At 44.5% G+C, this 22,151-nt stretch overlaps 1 protein-coding gene and 1 pseudogene across 6 annotated transcripts in view, besides 2 other annotated features; both read left to right on the top strand.

Annotated features, from left to right (window-relative positions):
* The window catches only part of RPS6KA2 (ribosomal protein S6 kinase A2), a 453,410-nt gene that overhangs the window by 152,420 nt on the left and 278,839 nt on the right, over nucleotides 1–22,151 (top strand). The gene's annotated exons all lie outside the window — the stretch shown is intronic.
* Nucleotides 7,262–10,993, top strand: IGF2BP3P1 (IGF2BP3 pseudogene 1; annotated as a pseudogene).
* Nucleotides 15,592–16,791: an enhancer, noted in NCBI's record as "CDK7 strongly-dependent group 2 enhancer chr6:167107051-167108250 (GRCh37/hg19 assembly coordinates)". NCBI's record gives its function as "activates an origin of replication core promoter dependent on BRD2, BRD4, P300/CBP, MED14 and CDK7 cofactors, with strong dependence on CDK7, by STARR-seq in HCT116 cells {active_cell/tissue: HCT116}" and the evidence as "EXISTENCE:reporter gene assay evidence [ECO:0000049][PMID:35650434]".
* Nucleotides 19,901–20,569: an enhancer, noted in NCBI's record as "H3K4me1 hESC enhancer chr6:167103273-167103941 (GRCh37/hg19 assembly coordinates)". NCBI's record gives its function as "activates a minimal SCP1, AML or CMV promoter by ChIP-STARR-seq in naive H9 embryonic stem cells {active_cell/tissue: H9 hESC(naive)}" and the evidence as "EXISTENCE:reporter gene assay evidence [ECO:0000049][PMID:30033119]".

Raw genomic sequence — 22,151 nt, 5'->3', positions numbered from 1 at the left:
AGGACATCAGGGTGCTGAGAGCAGTGTTTGAGGATGATCTGTCCAATATAACTGATTAAAGGCTAAAGCATGCTGTAGAGATTATGACTCAAGTGTTACTTTGAATACTCCAGATTTGAAATAAGTTTTAATAAGAACAGCAAAATTGAATGGAATCTTTCAGATGTTCAGGGATTTCATTGTATTTTTTTAAATTGACATACACATATACTTACAAAGGTAAACTATGAGATTTGTAAGGATAGGGAAAAAAGACATTGTGTGATAATTTAAGAAGTGAACAGGATTAAACCTAAGTTGCATCAATTTGATTATTATTCCATCAGGATTTTGAATAGTACTTCAGAGTGAAGATTCTGGTTCGATAATAGAATATGGCGTACATGAAAACTGAAACCCTCTTACAGTTTTAAAGATGTGCTTCCATTTAGAAAATCACAGTTGTTCTGCCCACAATAGGACCTTGTCAACCCCTAACTTGTTCTCAGCTGTGATCAGTCAAATAAACACTTCAGACACAGAGACTGAAGTGTTTATTTGAAAAATACTTCTTGATGGTAGTTAAAGCTGTCCTGGTGACGAGAAGGGACACTTACGCACCTATAAATCCAGGGGATGTCTGGGCCAGAAAGAGGAAATACAACTAACTGAGGAATGTGCCAGGACTTAATTTCATCCCTTTCTTCTTTTTATTTTGTTATTTGACATTTACTAATCCTCTTAACCCATCTGCACATCAGGATCTTGACCAACTTCCTTTGAGATTCTGACTTTTATGAAGAAAGAAAGATGATGTAAAGAATAACAATGTGATTTGAGATTAGGATAAAGCGAAGCCATCAAATAGTTTTTTCTTTTTGGTCATGTGTTTATTTATTTATTTATTTTGGTACAGATGGAGTGTCACTATGTTGCACAGGCTAGCCTCCAGCACCTGGGTTCCAGCAATCCTCCTGCCTCGGCCACCCAAAGTGCCGGGATGACAGGCGTGAGCCAACTTACTCAGCCCATGTGTTTATTTTTAAGGATATTTTGAGGATATGTTGTGTCTTTATTTCTGACTTCTGGGACTATTGTTCTTATTCCTCCATTAATAAAAGTAATGATTTTCTACATGCGTGCCCAGCTTGACAAGCACCCCACATCCGTTATCTTGTTACATCTTTATGACAACCGGTGAGGGAAGCAGAGGTGAGATGAACTTCAGTGCTGCTTTAAGGAGGAGGAAACTGAGGCACAACCCGGATAAGAGGCGTGCTAAAACAAGCCGATAGTACCCGGCTGGGGGAATGTGTATGGAACCCCACTGCAGGCTCACAGCTTGTGGCTCACACCTCTTCCTTGTTTCTCTACTTTGAATATCAACACGGAGCGGTGTGTCACTTCTATTTCATATCTCTCCCAGTTGTCTACATGACTGGCTTCACTTACTCCACAGAACTTAATACATTGCAATTTGTGGTACAATGCATTTATTTTATCATGTATTGCCCATGAAAATTAATGGTGGAGACTTCAGTTCAGAAGTATGTATTTCAAAAATATAATTACACTTGAAAGTGAGCAAGTTCAATTGTATGAGAAGGAAGTCACTGTGGTAAAACTTTAGAGAAAGTTATTTATTGTAACTGTAAATAGTACTAGTAAAGGCCTACTGGTAAAGCCTGTTTAGCAGTGTGCACTGCCTGGTGACGAGAACTCTCAGCGGGTGTGTAAGTACCTTCTCAGGACCTGCGAAACGTCTTGGAATGTCTTCTAACTTCTTAGCTTTTGCCAGGGTTCCAAGGCAGGAGGAATGGAAGTTGCAAGGAAGAAAGCATTTTTGTTTATACTGAAATTATTTTTAACATCCTAAATGTTTTCAACAACCTGATAAAGCAGTTTCTTTGGTGTGGCTTAGCTTTTTGAGAGTTGAGATTTTTCTGTGTCAAGTCCAGGTTAACTATTCTTAAAAGTGATTTCAAAAGCCAGGAAAAACCACTTTGCAGTAATCAGAATGTTATCCAACTGTATAATGTTTACTTTATTGTAAATACTTGTGAAGAGTGGTCAATAAATAGTTTTATGTTCCTTTATGCAAAAAAAAGATTTCATCCTGTTATTTGACATCAAGCTCAATCCTATTATGTTTCCAACAGAATTAATACATAGTGACAAAAATATATTGAATTAAATCAGGTTTTTTTCTAGATCCAATAAAAAACACAAATATTTTTAATAAATAAGTGTAAGTATATAGATTTAATTCTACCGGAGAATATTTTCCTTTTTTCTGTGGTTGTACAATATTAGCAAAAGAAATTATTCTCAGGCCAGTTGTGGTGGCTCATGCCTGTAATCTCAGCACTTTGGGAGGCTGAGGCAGGTGGAATACTTAAGGCCAGCAGTTCAAGACCGGCCTAGGCAACATAGTGAGACCCTGTCTCTGTAAAATATTCAAAAATTATCTGGGCACGGTGGTGCACACCTGTAGTTCCAGCTACTCTGGAGGCTGAGGCGGGAGGATTGCTTGAGCCTGGGAGGTCAAGGCCACCAGCCTAGGAGCCAAGATCGCACCACTGTACTTCAGCCTGGGCAACAAAGTAAGACCCTGAAAAAAAAGAGAGAGAGAGAGAGAAAGAAAGAAAGATTACTCTCTGAAGATAAGTAATAATGATCACCATAATTAAGGTACTATATTTATACATTTTAGGTCACTTGTTTAGTCACCTCCCAATCTGATCCAGGTGCACCTGTCTGGACCTCCTCCTTTATAATGACCCTGGGCCTTGATTCTGCACTCCTTCCATTACTGTCATCCATAACTTTAAACGTGCCCAGATATTCACTATCCTTAATTTATAAGTCATTTTCATTCCTCTGCCACTTCCCCACCACCCAGTCACCTGGTTTTGTTCCTCACTGCTCCATTGAAACTGTTTCTATTTACCTTTGTAATGAATCAACAATATTTGCTTACTAAGAATCATGCTGCACTTTGGAAACCGACCTTCACTTATTCCTGAAAGTCTCCCTGCCACATGGTTGGAGCTCCCTAACCGTGTGGGTGAGACGGAACTGTGCTCTAACCCGGCTCTGCTCTGCGGGCTGCGTGGCTGCCGGGCTGCCGTCCATCTGCACAGAGAGCAGAGCTGCCCCCTTCCCGGCAACCCCGGCATTGCACAAAGGGTTATCTGTCCAGTGCTGCCACAAGGAAGGCATCTAGCAGATGCTGGTTTTCTCTTCCTTTGCCTGCTAACTCTCTTCTCTGATCAGCCTTTACTCTCAAGTTTGCTGGGTACTTTTCTTCTTCCTGCACACTAATTATAGGTATGTTGGACTTTGTTCTATTTTGAGTAATATTCACTCCTAAATTGAACTTATCCATTTGAATGGCTGTCACCCTTCCACCAATAAATCTGAAGACCATTTACTCTTAATGTTTTTCAAAAACTTCCTATGCAGAGTTTTGTTACTACTATTCAAGGAACTCTAGCACAACTGTCAAAATAAGACTCTTCTTGTTTAATACTATTTTACTTTTCCTCCCGATCCCACCCTCTCTATATTCTTAGATATGAATGTATCCTTTAAGATACACAGTAACAGGCTGTGCGTGTGATATTTCATTTTGCACAGACAGTTGGCACGGGGCTTTACTTCCCCCTGGGTACTGTGCGTAAAGCCTGCCTAACTAGCTGTCCCCTTGCCTGGGTACCCATCCAGTCGTGGAGGGCTGGGGGTCTGGGGTCTCCAGGCTATGCAGCATGGGATGGAAAGAGCACAGATGATACTCGTTCTTCATCTTCATGACTGCTCAAGTGTTCTCCATGCAGTCACGGCAGGGGACGCTTCCAGAAGAATTGCAGGAGGCCCCAGATCTTCCTTCCCACGCTCACCAACTCTTGGTTGTATGACGCCTTTACATTTTATAAATATGATGGCTTGAATTGTCTTCTCCTCATTTTATTTCTTCTGGTTACATTGACTGAGTTGAGGAACTCTTCACATACTTGCCAGTCATTTACATTTCTCTTGCTGTGAACTGTTTTCATTCCTGGCCTGTTTTTTGGGTTGGGTTGCCTATCTTTTCTTGTTGATAGCAACATGAGCCATGTGGTCCTCTCAATTGGTACAGAGAGGTATTTGATAAAATTTCACCACTTAAGTTTAATAAAAACTGTAATTGGTTATTGCAGGTGTGTTAGTCCATTTGGGATGCTGTAATGAAAAACGATAAACGGAGTGGCTTATAAACAACAGAAATTCGTTTCTCACAGTTCTGGAGGCTGGAAGTCCAAGATCGAGGAACCCACAGATCCAGTGTCTGGTGGACACTTGCTCCCTGGTTCACAGACAGTGCCTTCTTGCCAAGTCCTCACGTGGTGGAAGGTGTGAGGGCCCTCTCTAGAGTCTCTTTCATAAGGTCTCTTTTATAATCCCATTCATGAGGGCTTTGCTCTCATGACCTAATCACCTCCCAGACCCCCCTCCAAATACCATCACACTTGGGATTAGATTTCAACATAAGAGTTAGGGGAGACACAAACATTCAGTCTGTATCAATAGGTGAGGATAATTGCTAGTAATTTTTAAGCCCACTGTAAATCCATCAACATCACTGAACTCTCGTTAGTTTTAATAGTCTCTATTCTGTTGGAGTGTCTATGTCTAGGATTGTGTCATCTGCCAATAAGGATGTTTTTTATCTTCCTTCCAAATCTTATACCACTAATTTATTTTGTTTTCTGACTCTCTCCTTCTTGCTTCTTTCTTCTTTTTTGTCTGTAAGGACCTTTAGTACCATGCTAAGCAGTTGTGATGTTAATGGGCATCTTTGCTTCTGATTTTAAAGTTTCTCCACTGAGTGTGATGTTTACTGGTTGTTTTTGTAATGTAGCCTTTACCAAGTTGAGCGACTTTTCTTCTAGTTCCCTAAGGGTTTGTGCGGAGGGTGGTGATCTGCTCAGATTAGTGTTTCATAGACTGCTGTGGCCAGGGAGGAGGCTGCTGCAGTGATTCAGGTGTAAGATGAAGGTGGCAGCAGAGACAAAGAGAAACGGACACATTCGAGAAACACTACTGGTAAAATTTAATGGGACATGATGATAGATTGGGTATGGGAAACGTCCCAGCTGGCGCCTTGCTCTTGGCTTGCACAATTGGACGGATACCATCTGTGGAGTTAGGAAATCCTGCAAGAGGTATTGACATGTTGACATGTTGATTCTCACATGTTTGAGGTGAACATCTCAGAATAAGATGTTGAGTAGATGTTGGATATGGGGACCTGGAGCTCAGAAGAAAGTACCTGAGAAGTTTGCATTGTGCAAAATCACCCACTGCAGAGAGCAAGGCTTTGAGAAAATATGGTGCTGGGATAGAACACCCAAACCTTAGAAATTCTGTAACCAGAGCACAAACCACAATATTAACAATCCTAATTTTAAATCCTGGCATAGAAGAAATATATTCAATTCCCAATAAATGGAATATGCTGCAGTACATACAGAACTTTACTGTAATAAGGAAAAAGAGGAAGGCAGCCTAGGGGAAGGACAGGTCAGGAAAGATCAGAGGACTGAGCCTTGGAGCCCAGAATGCAGACAGGACAGTTACAGGCTTTGCAAAAATGCAGTGACGCCAGCGAGGAGAGTTCCAGGTCACCATCATGTGCTCGTTTCTTTTGCGTGAAGATCCAGGAGAACCAGGCAATCTGGACACTTTCAAACCCAAACACATGGCCAGACAGGACCAGCAGAAGAAACCTGGGGCCGATGGGCATCCAAGTGTGTTCCTGGTGTCTTGCTGTGTTCACCTGTGTCACAGTCCTTTGTGTTATAGCACAGACCTGCTGTTACACGGTGACTTAAAACGTGAGTGCATCAGAGAAATTGGCTCATGACTAATGCAACTTTTATATTATCTTCACACCTAGTCAGTCGCTAAGTCTATCAGTTACACGTGTGTTTTAGAAAACATGTGCTCTGGAGCAAACCAGGCTGCATTTCATCAGCAGTATGCGCATGCCTCGTCAGTGTTCCTGTTGGGCCAGGTGTGTGGGTGGCGAATGCTAACTACCTGCAGATGCATCTAGAAGGAGACACTGACCTTGGGTCACCTTGGCTACATACTGCATGCTATCAACACCTCACAGATTGCTGTTTCATTTTAAAATCTCTTATAAGCATGAAAAGTATTTAAAATCACTGTGATTTAGGATATTGTTGAACTTGTCCTAATTTGGAGGGGAGAATTGTTCTTTTCCGGATATAACTCTCACCTCTGTTATACGAAGTCAAGTTCTGGCTCCTCAGCTTTCTGCAAGAAGTGTGAGCCAATATCTTCTTTTAAATGAAAATAATATCCAGAATTATATTTAAGCTCTTCTGAAGACAGCAGCTGGAAGAATTGAAATTGTCTTATAAAATATGTTACCTGAGAAAAATATGCAAATTATTCTATTTCATTGTAAGTCCCATTTCATATTTCTATAATTTTTTCCATTCTCCTTTTGTTTTTTTCTTGAGTGGAAAAAATCCCTTAAAGTGGAAAGGTACATATAAGGTTAATGAATTGCAGAAAGGACATTGGCAGCTGCAGCTCTTCTGAATTGTAGTCAGTCAGTGCAGCCTTGCATTCTTCTAAACAAAATCCTGCTTCCGTGATTTCGCCTGCTATGTATCACTTTATTTCCTTCATATTCCTTCTGTGAAGAAATGTTGAGCAACCAAGAGAAAGACTTCAGAAGAAAAAAAGATCTTTTTAATGATGCAGACTAAGAAGGAAATGACATCTCTCCTGTATGTCAGCCTCTTGGATGTAACACGCTGCTGAGCTGCCTTAGCTGTGATTATAAACTACACGGTATCTCTATCTGACTGATGTGGCAACCTGAGAAAATCATGTTCTAGGCTTCATAATGAAGACAATATGCATATTCTTTGAATTAAAAAATAGTCTCAGCTAATGTTAATTGAACCCCGTGTAGGAGGCAGAATGCCAATCCAAACAAAGCGAGCACCCCTCCCATGCAGTGACTGCTAATGTGACCCAGGTGTAACAAAAGGTAATTAACATTTGAAATGTTTCTAGCTGTTCCCATAGTAACATAATTGGGAAGGGAGTTTTAATCAATACATGTAGCCATTGACATCCATATACGAATAAGCATTCCGCAGCTAATAAAATTATAACATAGGTGATAAACACGACTGCCCCTGTATTGCTTGGTAGATGAGCATTATGGTTAAAAAATGACTGTGAAAAGTTAGCTCAATTCAAGCCTGGTGGATGCGTTTCGGTTGTAGCTAGGCTTTTTCTTTTCTTTCTCTTTTAAAACATATCTAGACAAGGAAAAACAAGCCTCGGATCTGATTTTTTGCTCCTCGTTCTTGTGCTTGGTTCTTACTGTGTTTGTGTATTTTAAAGGCGAGAAGACGAGGGGAACAAAACCAGCTGGATCCATCCATCACCGTGGGTGGTTTTAATTTTCGTTTTTCTCATTAATTTTTTTTAAACAACCATTCTTCACAATGAACAAACCGTATATCAGAAACCTCAGCGAGAACGCCGCCCCCTTGGACCTAGAAGGTATCTTGAAGGACGCCAAGATCCCCGTGTCGGGACCCTTCCTGGTGAAGATTGGCTACGCGTTCGTGGACTGCCCAGACGAGATCTGGGCCCTCAAGGCCATTGAGGCGCTTTCAGGTAAAATAGAACTGCACGGGAAACCCATAGAAGTTGAGCACTCGGTCCCAAAAAGGCAAAGGATTCGGAAACTTCAGATACGAAATATCCCTCCTCACTTACAGTGGGAGGTGCTGGATAGTTGACTAGTCCAGTATGGAGTGGTGGAGAGCTGTCAGCAAGTGAACACTGACTCGGAAACTGCAGTTGTAAATGTAACCTATTCCAGTAAGGACCAAGCTAGACAAGCGCTAGACAAGCACTAGACAAACTGAATGGATTTCAGTTAGAGAATTTCACCTTGAAAGTAGCCTATATCCCTGATGAAATGGCCACCCAGCAAAACCCCTTTCTGCAGCCCCGAGGTCGCCGGGGGCTTGGGCAGAGGGGCTCCTCAAGGCAGGGGTCTCCAGGATCCGTGTCCAAGCAGAAACCATGTGATTTGCCTCTGTGCCTGCTGGTTCCCACCCAATTTGTTGGAGCCATTATAGGAAAAGAAGGTGCCACCATTCGGAACATCACCAAACAGACCCAGTCTAAAATCGATGTCCACCGTAAAGAAAATGCAGGGGCTGCTGAGAAGTCGATTACTATCCTCTCTACTCCTGAAGGCACCTCTGCGGCTTGTAAGTCTATTCTGGAGATTATGCGTAAGGAAACTCAAGATGTAAAATTCACAGAAGAGATCCCCTTGAAGATTTTAGCTCAAAATAACTTTGTTGGCCGTCTTATTGGTAAAGAAGGAAGAAATCTTAAAAAAATTGAGCAAGACACAGACACTAAAATCACGATATCTCCATTGCAGGAACTGATGCAGTATAATCCAGAACACACCATTACAGCTAAAGGCAATGTTGAGACATGTGCCAAAGCTGAGGAAGAGATCATGAAGAAAATCAGGGAGCGTTAGGAAAATGATATCACTTCTATGATTTCAAGCACATTTAATTCCTGGATTAAATCTGAACGCCTTGGGTCTGTTCCCACCCACTTCAGGGATGCCACCTCCCACCTCAGGGCCCCCTTCAGCCATGACTCCTCCCTCCCCGCAGTCTGAGCAATCAGAATCCGAGACTGTTCATCTGTTTATCCCGGCTCTATCAGTCAGAGCCCTCATCAGCAAGCAGGGCCAGCACATCAAGCAGCTTTCTCGCTTTGCTGGAGCTTCAAGTAAGATTGCTCCAGTGGAAGCACCAGATGCTAAGGTGAGGATGGTGATGATCGCTGGATCACCAGAGGCTCGGTTCAAGGCTCAGGGAAGAATTATGGAAAAATGAAAGAAGAAAACTTCGTTAGTCCTAAAGAAGAGGTGAAACTTGAAGCTCATATCAGAGTGCCATCCTTTGCTGCTGGCAGTTACTGGAAAAGGAGGCAAAACGGTGAATGAACTTCAGAATTTGTCAAGTGCAGAAGTTGTTGTCCCTTGTGACCAGACACCTGATGAGAATGACCAAGTGGTTGTCAAAATAACTGGTCACTTCTATGCTTGCCAGGTTGCCCAGAGAAAAATTCAGGAAATTCTGACTCAGGTAAAGCAGCAGCAACAACAGAAGGCTCTGCAAAGTGGACCACCTCAGTCAAGACGGAAGTAAGGCTCAGGAAACAGCCCACCACGGAGGCAGATGCCAAACCAAAGACAGATTGCTTAACAAACAGACAGGCGCTGACCCCCTATCCAGAATCACATGCACAAGTTTTTACCTAGCCACTTGTTTCTGAGGACCAGGCAACTTTTGAACTCCTGTCTCTGTGAGAATGTGTACTTTATGCTCTCTGAAATGTATGACACCCAGCTTTAAAACAAACACACAAAAAAAGGGTGGCAGAGGGGGGAAAGAGAAGAGCTCTGCACTTCCCTTTGTTGTAGTCTCACAGTATAACAGATATTCTAATTATTCTTAATATTCCCCCATAATGCCAGAAATTGGCTTAATGATGCTTTCACTAAATTCATCAAATAGATTGTTCCTAAATCCAATTGTTAAAATTGGAGCAGAATAATTATTACAGGAACTTAAATGTTAAGCCATTAGCATGGAAAAACTGTTCTCAGTTTTATTTTTACTTAACACTAACATGAGTAACCTAAGGGAAGTGCTGAACGGTGTTGACAGGGGTATAAAACGTGCATTTTTACTCAACTACCTCGGGTATTCAGTAATACAATGAAAAGCAAAATTGTTCTTTTTTTTTTGAAAATTTTATATACTTTATAATGATAGAAGTCCAACCGTTTTTTAAAAAATAAATTTAAAATTTAACAGCAACAGCTAATAGGCAAATTAAGAATTTTACTTCTGGCTGGTGACAGTAAAGCTGGAAAATTAATTTCAGGGTTTTTTGAGGCTTTTGACACAGTTATGAGTTAAAAAAATCAAATGTTCAAAGATACAGAGCAGTGCCTTATATCTGGAGAGCAGCACTACCATTTATTCTTTCATTTATAGTTGAGAAAGTTTCTGATGGTACTAACAAAGTGGTGGCAGAAGATTTTGGAACGGCTGGTTTAAATGGCTTCAGGAGACTGCAGTTTTTTGTTTAGCTACATGATTGAATGCATAATAAATGCTTTGTGCTTTTGACTATCAATACCTAAAGAAAGTGCATCAATGAAGAGATGCAGGACTTTCAACTGATTGGCAAAAAGCAAGCTTTAGCTTGTCTTACAGGATGCTTAGTTTGCCAGTACACTTCAGACCAATGGGACAGTCATAGATGGTGTGACAGTGTTTAAAGGCAACAAAAGGCTACATTTCCATGTGGCCAGCACTGTCATGAGCCTCACTAAGCTATTTTGAAGATTTTTAAGCACTGATAAATTAAAAACAAAAAATTAGACTCCACCTAAAGTAGTAAAATATAGCAGGATTTCTGTATACTGTGCAATCAGTTCTTTGGAAAAAAAAGTCAAAAGATAGAGAATACAAGACAAGTTTTTGGGATATAATTCGAATGACTGTGAAAACATATGACCTTTGATACCGAACTCATTTGCTCACTCCTTAACTTGACAGCAAAGCCCAGTATGTACAATTGTGTTGGGTGTGGGTGGTCTCCAAGGCCATGCTGCTCTCTGAATTGATTTTGAGTTTTGTTGGTAAGATGATCACAGTCATGTTACACTGATCTAAAGACTTGTATATATCACCCTTTAAAAAGATCACTCTGCCTCATTCTTATTTCAAGATGAATTTCTATACAGACTAGATAATGTTTTTCTGAAGATCATATCAATTAGACATTTTGAAAATGATTTAAAGTGTTTTCCTTAATGTTCTCAGAAAGCAAGTTTTTTTTGTAGTTTTATCCAAAAAAATGCCCTTTTACCTTTGACTCTTCTCTCAAGATTCTTCTTGCTTTCCTTAACTAGGATCTGATGGCTCCTGAGAACCCACTTCCTTTGTGATCCTCTCAAGTGGAAGCAATTTGCTCTCTCTTTGCCCCTGAGACCTGAGTGCCAGGTCATCCTTCCTCTTCAGGTAGTTTTCTGACCACAGCCTTTCTATTAGCTGGACAAACATTTGCTTCTTTAAATCTCATGCAACCTGATGATGCCGCCTCTCCTCTCCTCTTAGTTGTCATCTACTCCACCTGTGTTACTACGGTGCACTCATAGGGGTCGCTGGAATCCATGCCAGTCTTCCTCATCACTACCATGCCTGCTATCTACTCGGCATCTTCCACATCCTCCTGAAAAACACATCTGACCACCTGACCTCTTCGTTCCTCGCCTCCTCATCTCCAGTGATGTTTATCTCTACTCCAAATTAGCCGTCATTCTAAACTTTGTCATCCTGGAAACTTAATCACTTCTAATTGACAAAATCATTGAGCACATTCTCTTGCCTCCATTTTCCGTCCTCCAACCAGGCTGGTTAAAAAGCCACAGTGCAGATGCCTGTCCTATCAGAACCTCCCGTCCGCTGACGAGTTCGCCACCTCATCCACCAGCCCTTCCTGCCAGCAGCTTCTTCCCTCTCCAACAGAGAGGCAGTAACTACTCTATTGCAATATTCAACGGAAGTTGCCCTTCAGCCTTTTAATTTTGATCATTGGGGAAAATCACAGCCCCAGAAGAAGTCGAGTGTTTCCTGTTCTCCATGTCTGTCTAATACCTGACAGTTGCTGGGAAAGACACACACTGGGCAGATGGTTACTATAAAAATGCATGGTACCCAACCTCATCAGCCTTTGAGAACTTCCCTTTATTCTGACCATAGCCCTATACTCACTTTGCTCTCACTCCACAATGACTGTTTTCAACCTTCTCCATTGACCTCAGCCTGACTTCCACTGGCCAGCATTCTCTCCAGAGGTTGACCTTGCTTCCCACCAGACAGAAGTTTTTTAAGAGTCATCACTCAGATACATCCTAAAATTCCTGCCTGTGACCCAACAGATTTTGCTGTATACCGACCCATCCTCTTCTTCCCTTCTGGTGATATGAAGAAAGTACTTCACCTGCTACACATACCAGGAAATTTATGACACTCTATTTTGTGTCGCAGTCCTTTCTCTTGTCGGATTTTTTATATTTTTGTGGAAATATGCCCCAGCATTTCCTATGTCACCCATGTACACACATGCCCATTGCACGGCACAGACAGGAATCCCAGCCGGACCCCAGTCCTTACAGTCACTCTCTTCTCTGCACAGCAAATCCTTGTAAAGAGATTTAACTATCGACTCTTTCCCCACTTCTTCACCATCCTTCTACTGCCAGTCTGTATTTCTTCCAATATCCATTCATTCCACATACAGCCGCCGAGTCCTCCCCGTGCCAGATCCTGCCTCATTTTCTGGGGCTACAGAAGTGAGCAGAGCAGGCAGACATGCCTTCTGTTCCAGTCGAGGGAACGGCCATCCATCCATGTTGCTTAGTCGGGTGTGTGTGTTTCCATGTCTGTTTCAGTTCAGTACAAGCCAAACAAACCCTGTAGCAAAGAGATTTCAGAATGTTGGGACTTAAATAGGAGAGATATTAGCCTCCCTTCTGGGATCCGGCCCACAGCTGAACAGTCCAGGCTGGTGTGGAAGCTCTGCTCCACCAGGTCATCCAGCAACCAAGGTTCCCTCCATCTTCTCGCTCTACCATCTTTTAGGGTGTGGTTCTTGTTTGCAGAGTTTAAACTGGGTCAGTTTCAAATTGGATATTCAGCCTTCAGAAAACAGAAAAGGAAGAAGTCTACGACAGTGGCTTCATCTTTATGGAGATTCCTTGGGAGTTCATCGATTCCCTCATATACCATTGATCTGAACCTAGCCCCATGGCTACACTTGACAGAATGGAGCTGGGAAATGTAGTCTCCATCTCCAGCCAGGTGGCTGCATGCCCAGGGGACATTCTGCCACAGTTCCAGCCTACTTGATTTGTGGTCAACTTCCGCTTTCATTTCTATTTCTTGGGTTGCACTATGGTTTATTTACAATGTGGGGATATCCTATAGCTTATATGAGTCTTTTTTTTAACTTTACCTTCTCCCTAGACAATATTATTTCCTCTGTAGCTGGTGTATTAGGGTTCACCAGAGAAACAAAACCGATAGGATATGTATCTATATCTATATTTGTATCCATACACACACACATATACACACATACAAATACACACACACACACACACACACATATATATACACACACAGATTTTATTGTAAGGAATTGGTTCGTACAACTATGGAGGCAGACAAGTCCAAAGATCTGTGCAGTTGGCAGGCTGAAGTCCCAGAAGGGCCCATGGTGTAAGTTCTAGTCTGAGTCCAAAAGCCTGAAAACCAGGAGAGCCAATGGTATAGTTTGAGAGCTGGAAGGCTCAAAACCCAGGAAGAGCTGGTGTTTCAGGTTGAGTCCAAAGGCAGAAAAAGATTGCTGCCCCAGCTCAAGGTGGCCAGGCGGGAAGGGGTCCCTCTCACTTGTGGGGGAGTTGGCTTTTCTGTTCTGTCCTTTCACTGATTGGGTGAGACCCACCCACATTGGAGAGGGCATCTGCTTGACTCCATTCACCAATTTAAATGTTCGTCTCCTCCCAGAATACCCTCACGGACACATTCATAATAACCCTGACCAGTATCTGGGCACCGTGCAGCCCTGTCAAGTTGACGTAGAAAATGGACCGTTTCAGCTGATAAACATTTGCTCGGTTAAGGAAAAATGGGGGAGGAACTGTTTTAATGGATGGTTCAGGGGCAATGATTTGAGCTGTGGATATGTTCACTGAGTTTCCTGGGGAATATTAGAATAAAGGTTTCTACCAGAGAGTGGAGATATTAGTCTGAAGCTCAGAAGGTAAGTCCAGGATAGAGATAAACTTGGAGAAATCATCTGAATACAAATGATGCATTTCCATCTACCTATTCAGGTTTCCGATGAGCATCTCCCATCTCTCATTTCTGATCACCCCCGTATTGATTCAGTCCGCACCCAGCTGATAGACTACCACCCAGATCTCACGTGGGGCTGCTTCTCCCCACAGCCTAAGTGCAGGAGACATCCTGCTGTTTCCTGGAGAGCTGCTAATCCCACTCCGGCTCTTCCCCATATCAGAGTCAGTTGCTGTGCAGCCTAAAACGGCCGTCCCCAACCTTTTTGACATCAGGGACCGGTTTCGTGGAAGACAATGTTTCCGTGGAAGAGGGGGGAGTGCAGGGAGGGAAAATGTTTGGGGATGAAGCTGTTCCACCTCAGATCATCAGCCATTGGATTCTCATAAGGAGTGTGCAACCTGGATTCCCGCATGCGCAGTTCACAGTAGGGTTCCAGCTCCTATGAGAATCTAGTGCTCCTGTGAGAATCTAGTGCTCCTATGAGAATTTAGTGCTCCTATGAGAATCCAGTGCTCCTGTGAGAATCCAGTGCTCCTGTGAGAATCCAGTGCTCCTATGAGAATCCAGTGCTCCTGTGAGAATCCAGTGCTCCTATGAGAATCCAGTGCTCCTGTGAGAATCCAGTGCTCCTGTGAGAATCCAGTGCTCCTAGGAGAATCCAGTGCTCCTAGGAGAATCCAGTGCTCCTAGGAGAATCTAGTTCTGTTGCTGATCTGACAGGAGGCAGAGCTCAGGCTAGAGAGGTAACACTCGCTTGCCTGCTACTCACCTCCTGCTGTGCGGCCTGGTTCCTACAAGCCATGGACCTGTACCAGTCTGAGGCCTGAGGATTGGGAACCCAGTCTAACAGACATAATCAGAAAAATACATTCTTCTAATTAAAACCCTGCAAGACCCTCACTGCACTTAGGATAAAACCTAAACATGTTAACAAGAGCTTACCCCATTTTCTGGCCAGTTCTGGCCATGTACGTCTCTGTGGGTCTCCTCAATGACACTGCGCTTTTCTCTGGCTCCGGGTTTGCTCCTGGGGGTTGTTCTGTTTGTGTTGTGTTTGTTTTGCCATTGGGTATTCTTCAAGCGGGCTGCTCTGCACACTTCTCTTTGCCTAGAGAATCTGGACCCACCTTTTGAGTTTCAGAGTTAGTGACCTTTTCTCAGAGAGGATGTTCCTGTCTCTCCAACCTGGGTTCAAGTCTTCCTGAGTCCATTCGCATAGCAACTCACTGCACAGCAGCCATATCAACTGTATTCATAGATTTGTCTATGTCGTTATTTGCTTAGTGACATTTTCTCCACCGGAATATTAGCTCCTTGGTGGCCAGGATAGCATCTCTCTTCCTCACCACTGTGTTTCCAGAGCTGATCCCATAGCCTAAGTGATTAATATCTATTTATTGAATAAATGGATATTACAAGCAGACTTATGTAAGCAAATAGCATATGGATCACATTGGTATCTAAAACCCAGCTGGGAGGAATGGTAAATACATTAGATGATGAAACGGCAAGCATGCTCAATCAATATTTCTTAAATGAATGAATTACTCTCTTTCTCTCTCAACGTGGAAAGATGCAGTAAGGGCTCAGGTCATTCAGATAATTATGCTTTGTGGTATGTTTCCCACCAACAACAGTAGATTCGACTAGAGGCACAGAATCACTCTAGCAGAATGCGAGTGATATTTAAAGCTACGGGAAGGTAAAGGGTTCTCACCATGTAGGGAGAGGTTCGCATCAGCTTCCTGGATCCTGCAATTGCGACTTTGGAATGCAGTGCCCCTGCCCAGTTACCAGGTGGTCAGAGCCTCAAAAAGTGTTAGACGAACTCTTCTGGGCCAGGCTTTGTTCTTCGCAGTTTCAGACATTTTTTTATCCTGGACGTTACTAGAAATCTCTCCACAATTTAGTTAAGGAATCAAGAATCACTGGAGTAGTGACTTTATTGTATTGGAAGACCGTGAATGGAGAGATGGGTGAACAGAAAGAGACTACAGAGTCTTCTAAACAATATGGGATGTTCCCAGCAAGTTCACCTAAAGGAGGAGAAGTGCCAGCCAGGCCGTCCAACTCCCGCTCCTCTGTGGCCCAGGTGAGTGCTTCAACAGGAAATAAAGCAGCCGGTTCCTGTGTTGGTCAAGTGATCTGCCAAGTGAAATTCCTTCTCAAGTCTCTGGGTATCCACATGGCAAAGAACCTCCGTGTGTGGGAGGCAGAGAGCATGTGGGCCATCCAGCCCTTTGGAGATATAAGGGCAGCGAGCCCCAGTCATAAAGAGGTTCGCCATCGTCTTGTCAAAAATGACTCATAAATTCCTGATGAGCTGCAATGTCACACAATGCACAATAGAGACATTCTATCAATTTTGTCATTTAACAGAATGGCGAGAACTATCGTTAAGGGAGAAAGGAATTTCTTTGAGGTAGGGGACAGAGGGATGTCTAAGGAAGAGGTGAGGTTCTGGCCTTCACCAGCAAACCACAGGAGTAACCTGTGCCTAAGGGGTGTGTCTAAGCTTGGTGAGTGGAACTTGTTTTTTATGAGTTACTTTTATTTTTGTGGCCTTTCTCCCTCAAATTGCTGACTCCAATTAAGCTGTTGTTTGGGAAAGCCCAGGACAAAAACCTAGTGGACACGGCTAGAGTTTCAAATTGGTGGCACACTGTATTCACAAGGATGCAAACGACATCATGTTAAATTGCGGGGGAGGGGGATATTAATGGTGCAGACTTTCTAAAAAACTGCTGGAGACATTTTATGAACAAATTGAGTGTACCCTCGATCTCCCTGGCCACAGACCAGGCGAGAGATCCTGGCTAAGTGGACTTGGAGCAGTCCACAAATATGGAACAGGGAGTCCTCCTGGGGCTTTGCGATGGAGGCGCAGGACCCTGAGTGCACGGCTGAGACGCTCCTTTTTTCCATTTCTTTAGTAGAGGCCCTGCTGATGTGCAAGGAAACCAGAGTTTTAAACTTACAAAAATAGAATCTCCAGAAAAGACACATAACTAAGGATATTAAAAACAACAAGAATCACTTCCGCGTGTTTAGCAGCTTGATCTGCAGCCTTCTCAGGAGTGGAGAAGGTCCCAGAACATCTGGATTTCACAGGCAGTGATAGGAGGCAAAATCCAATCGCTGCAGCACCTCCTGCGAGCTGCGGTGCCAGGTGCTCCTTCTGATTTAGGCTGGAGACAGGCAGACTTGCAAGGGAACAGGTGGTCAATTTCGCTAAACTTGCCACCCAACGGAAAGAGTAGCCCTATATTAAGCACTTGACTCTGAGGTGTTGGACTGAGTCAGTTACTAAAAGTGACATTGTCATATCCTTGCTGCAATCAACTGCCTCTTGCCCTCTCCTGAGTTTCGGATGATCCCGAGTGACAATTAGCCTGAATGTTTACATACTCCCGTGGAGGTTTGCTCTCTGAAATGTGGAGGAGTGAGATGCTCCATGCTTGAAGAGAAAGACAGTGTGGCTCCCTGGCCAAAATCGTCATCATTTCTAACTTAGGCGACATGCTCTCTCTCCTCCGCCAAGCCTTCTCTAAGTTCTATGGGATATTGTTAGTAAGTACCCTTGTTTACCTTGTTAAAAAGCACTTTGGAGCCTGCCGTGTTGTTTGGTTTTGTTTTTAAGATGGTTCCTGATCCGCTCTGGAAGCCAAACAGGCCAGTTAGTTATTATTTGGCATAATAACGGATGACATTTGTAACTTTTTTTTCCTTATTTCTTAATATTTTACTTAATATGCAGCTTAGAGTAGGTTTTTTTAGCATCCAATTTTCTCATGTTTTCTGTCCTTGTTTATTCTACTTTATTCTACTTTGTTCCTATGTATCTTTAAACTTTGGCTTGCAAAAGTTTCCTGCTCAGCAGAGCGTCTGCTCTCTGTCCAGTGTTATTCTGTCTTGTCCTTGAGTTTGCCATGGCTGGGTTTCCATCGTCCATCTCTGCACACGCTGGTCCCTGGGTTCGACAGAACACTTTTCTCACAGCATCTTCTTCTTGGGCATATATTCAGTAGGGGGCGATTTTAGTTTATAGCTTGAGCAGAGGTAGGAGGATAAGCGCTGTTTGCTTCTTTTATTTTTTTCTGACTACTTCTTTCCTTACTTTTCTTTTCTCTCTATCGCCTCACTTTATCCCTTTTACTCTTCTGTTCTTCCCTTATTTTATCTTCCCAAGACAACAAATCTTGACAGGGGACACTTGTGGGAGGTGGAGAACCCACACGTCCACTTCTCTGCTTCTTCCTCTTCCATGTCATTTAATTTTAATGCACGCTTGTGAATCTGCAGTTCTTTCCCCCAACACAGGACGCCCTGACCTGTAACTAACTCCAGAGGGAGGGAGGATTTCAGCTGATGGGTGACTGCTCCTGGGACACGGGGAATAGCTGCCCAGGAGCCTGTGGCCTGTGTGGCTTCCTCCCGGCCTCACGTGCTTCTTGAGCTCTCATTCTGGTCTTTGTTTTCTTTTGCTGGCATTTCAATTTCTCATTTCCTTTCCCCGTGTAAGGGTATAGAAGATGGATAAATAGATAATTACATAAATGCCTGCAATCTAGTTAGCATTGTTCTTTTGTAACATGCTTTTGCCTCAAACCAAAGGAGCCTCCACTCCTTTTGAAGATGAAATATTTAGATAGGGGCCTTAGAAAATGTCACATATGTCATGGCACGCATGGTACTAATGGTGGGGTGCAGGTAAGTCGTGTCAAAATGTGGAGTAAAGTTAAGAACACATCACGGAGAGGGTCGGAGCTCCCTGGACTCTGAGGGAGGAGGGCTTCTAACAGGGCAGCAGGGGAGGCCCGGGCTGAGCACAGTACCCTGAAAACCGGGAGGTGAGATGCGCTTGTGTGCAGGAGAGAGAGCCAGGAGCAGGGGAACAGAGAGCTTGGCGGGGAAGGTGTCGGGCGCCTGGGGCAGGGAGTGACACACGAGAAGAGTTATTTTGGGAATAGCCTGGCAGGTCTCAGGCTGGACTGGAGTGGAGAGAGATTAAAAGCAGGAAATCGTTTTGAAGGTTGTTATAGCATGAGTGAGTCATAAGATGAGGAGGGCCTAACCTGGCATGCGGGCCGTGAAAACAGAGAAGGAAAGAATCCAAGGAACTCCTGAGGTCAAGTCCTGGCAGCACTCTTAGTGGAGGCTAGAACCCGGGGCCGTAATTTTCAGGGCAATCAGATGGCAGAGTCAGGTATAAAAGGAGAAGCAACATTATGACAGAGCGCAGGTCTCCCGGCATGAGTTGGCAACGCTTGAATCTTCTAGAACCTACAGTTTTTCATTTTCTATTTTCGTTATGGTTTAAAACCATCAAGAATATATTATATGGACTGTGTGCTGTTGATTATTATGCTGTTTACTGTTGATGATCACATTAATTATTTATTTAATGCTTTCATGTAATTAATGTCCTTTATAAAACATTATAATCAAGATGGCATGCCACAGAGTAAGCCCTGTAAACACCTGTCCACAGCATGCCTGTTCAGGGTCTCCGTGGTCAGAGATTTCCCCTGAGAAAAAATGAGAATTCTAAGACTTGCCACAGTGCAGGGGCAGTGTTTGCTAAGTAGATGGTGTACGTCCGTTTTATAGCTGAGGAAACTGAGGCTTATCTAGCGGAAGGGACTTTGAGGAGTGCAACCCAGGGAGTCTCACTGTGGACCTGCAGAGCTGAGCCCCCGTCCCCTCCTGCCCCCAGGGAGCGGATGTGTCCTCATCCACAGAGAGGAAAACCAAGGCTCACGGAGCTGCATCGAGGTGTCAGAGGACGCCTGGAGTTCCGACGCGTGTCTTCGAGCTCATAGAGGGAGTTCTTCTCCCTTTGAAGAATCCCGAGAACTGTGTAAAGCTGTTTGGCACCTTGAGACATAATTCTAGCCACGCAGGTGGCTCAGACTGTCTGATCTTGTGATAGACACTTGATGGGAATCCTGTTGCCTTTCTGTGCTGACATGTCTGTATTTCCGTATTGCCTCTGGGGCTAGGATGCTCTGTCAAGGAATAGACCAGTTTAGCCCTGATGGTGTGGAATGAACAGGTCTCAGTGGTGGCCCTCAAGGACTCACTCTGGATGTAAGGACAGCTTGACACTCCCCTCCCAGAGCAGTGGATTTATGTGAAAAAGCTGTGGGAGAAAAGACCCCGTCACCCCAATGCTGGGTGCTCACGTCAGACTGGTGGGTTGTGATGTGGTCCCAAAGCAGCCTCACACTTCACCCTCCTCCCTCCACCCCTCAGCTTGGTCCTTCCCCTGACAGGCCACCTCCAGGGCTCCCAGAGCCCCTCACCCAATCCCTAGACCGGAGCCATGCGGTGGGATTGCGGGACCGTGCAGCTCTGCCACCTCCTTGGGGAGGGAACGCAGTGTGGACTCCTTGGCCACAGCAGCAGGACCAGAGGCCTCCTGGTGAGGTGGGTGGGCCTCAGCTTTGCTTCCTGCCACTTGGCCTGAGGGCCGAATATTAAAACTTTCATGTGGCTTTCTCTGGTCCTGGTGTCCTCGGTGTGTGCACAGAGCCTTGCAGAGCAGAACCCTCATGGGCACAGAGCTGCTTCCACCAGTGCTGTCTTCACTCAGCTACAGTTGGATGGTTTTGTTCAGGGACACCAAACTTTTGCCTATGAAATAGGGGGACATTTATTAAAATGCCCGAGGCTTCAAACAGCTGTCTGAGATGCCTGCACTCAGTCTCCCACACCTGTCCCACTAGGTCCCCCTGGCCTGCCTGGGGGGTATCACCTCTGACCACAGGGCCAGCAGAGCCCAACACCTACGAATCCAGTGGGGAGAAGCAGATTCCAGGATCCCCTGGAGGTTCTAAAAATCGGAACTGGCCATGCTCAGTTTAACCAACACTTTCCTCGGGATCCTTACTTATTTTTTCATTCAATTAAATATTTATTGTTTGTTCCACTGTGGTCATGTCTACTCTTTTCCTTGTATCACGTTGGGAAGCCACGCACACATATCCGTGGCAGGTGCCTGTGTGCAGAGAGTTCTGCTAACGCTGCAGGAGTGCCTTGGGATGCTACCTTCATCCCGGGCTCCTGGCCTTGAGTTCATCTTGGTGTCAATTCAGACACGAGTTCTGTTTTTGGGACAGGAAACCAGTCTTCTCTGCAGGGGTAAAGAAGTGGTGTAAATCCACATGGAAACATGGTGCTCGGCACTGAGAAAGCGAGGGCTTTGGTAGGGGAGCGCTTTTGGCGCAGCCTCCAGGCACAGGGCGGCCAGAGCCCTGCTCACCTGGGCGAGTGGGGAGGACCTGCTCAGGGCTGGCCTTCGGCAGGAGGTTCCCCTTGTACTCAGGGAGTTTCCTTTGTTTTCGGGGATGCTATTAAAGTTAGCCCTGAAGCAAGGGTGGATTTCTTTCCACTCCACTGAAATCTCTTGCTCTGCATTCAGGCTGTGCATGGTGAGGGCATTCTAACTTTGTTGCATGTAATAATTCACTTAGTCCTTGTAATTTTTTAGGAGCACAATTACGATCTCATTTTGCAGATGAGGAAACTGAGACAGGAGATGGCCCCACATGGGTTCATGTGGACATGAAGGTGTGGAAAGAGGGCTCCCAGGCTGCCCCCATGCGGGGTTTCTGTTGTTTGGCTAACCTTAGGCACGTCCTAGCCCCTAAGCACAACTGCGGTTTCAACGCTGTCTGTTGCCAGCCTCACGCTGACGCTGTCGCTCTCGCCTTCCCGCCCCCTACCTGGGGATCATGTCACCTCCTCATGGTGACACTGTGTGCCCCTCTCCTAGCCACCTGCTTCTTACCCTTTCATCCTCCAAACCCAGTGATTTTGTTTTACCCCACGGTTCTGCTCATTGCTAGGGGGCACACGTGGCCCTGCTTAATCACTTGGTCCTGACTTGTGAACCCAGCCACCCGTGGCCAGCTCCCTCTGCAGCTGCACTGGAGGTAAAAATGTGCCCCTGGCAAGGCCGGGGATGAGCAGAGGGGGCCGGGCAGGTGGGACACGAGTGGGAAATTGAGGTTGAGGACCCTGGCGGGGGCCCTGTGCAGTGTCCCAGTGGCAAAGCTTGTGTCTTTTTCAAGTTCCCCCTCAAAGATCCACCACACACGAGCTTTAGTGAGCCAGGGAGACACCCAGAGACCTCGGAGGCAGGCAGAGCAGACAAAA

The sequence above is a fragment of the Homo sapiens genome, chromosome 6 (genome assembly GCF_000001405.40).
Source record: "Homo sapiens chromosome 6, GRCh38.p14 Primary Assembly".
NCBI classification, from domain to species: Eukaryota; Metazoa; Chordata; class Mammalia; order Primates; family Hominidae; genus Homo; species Homo sapiens.
The sequence above is the reverse complement of the archived record's forward strand: the minus strand, read 5'-3'. Positions and strand labels throughout refer to the sequence as shown.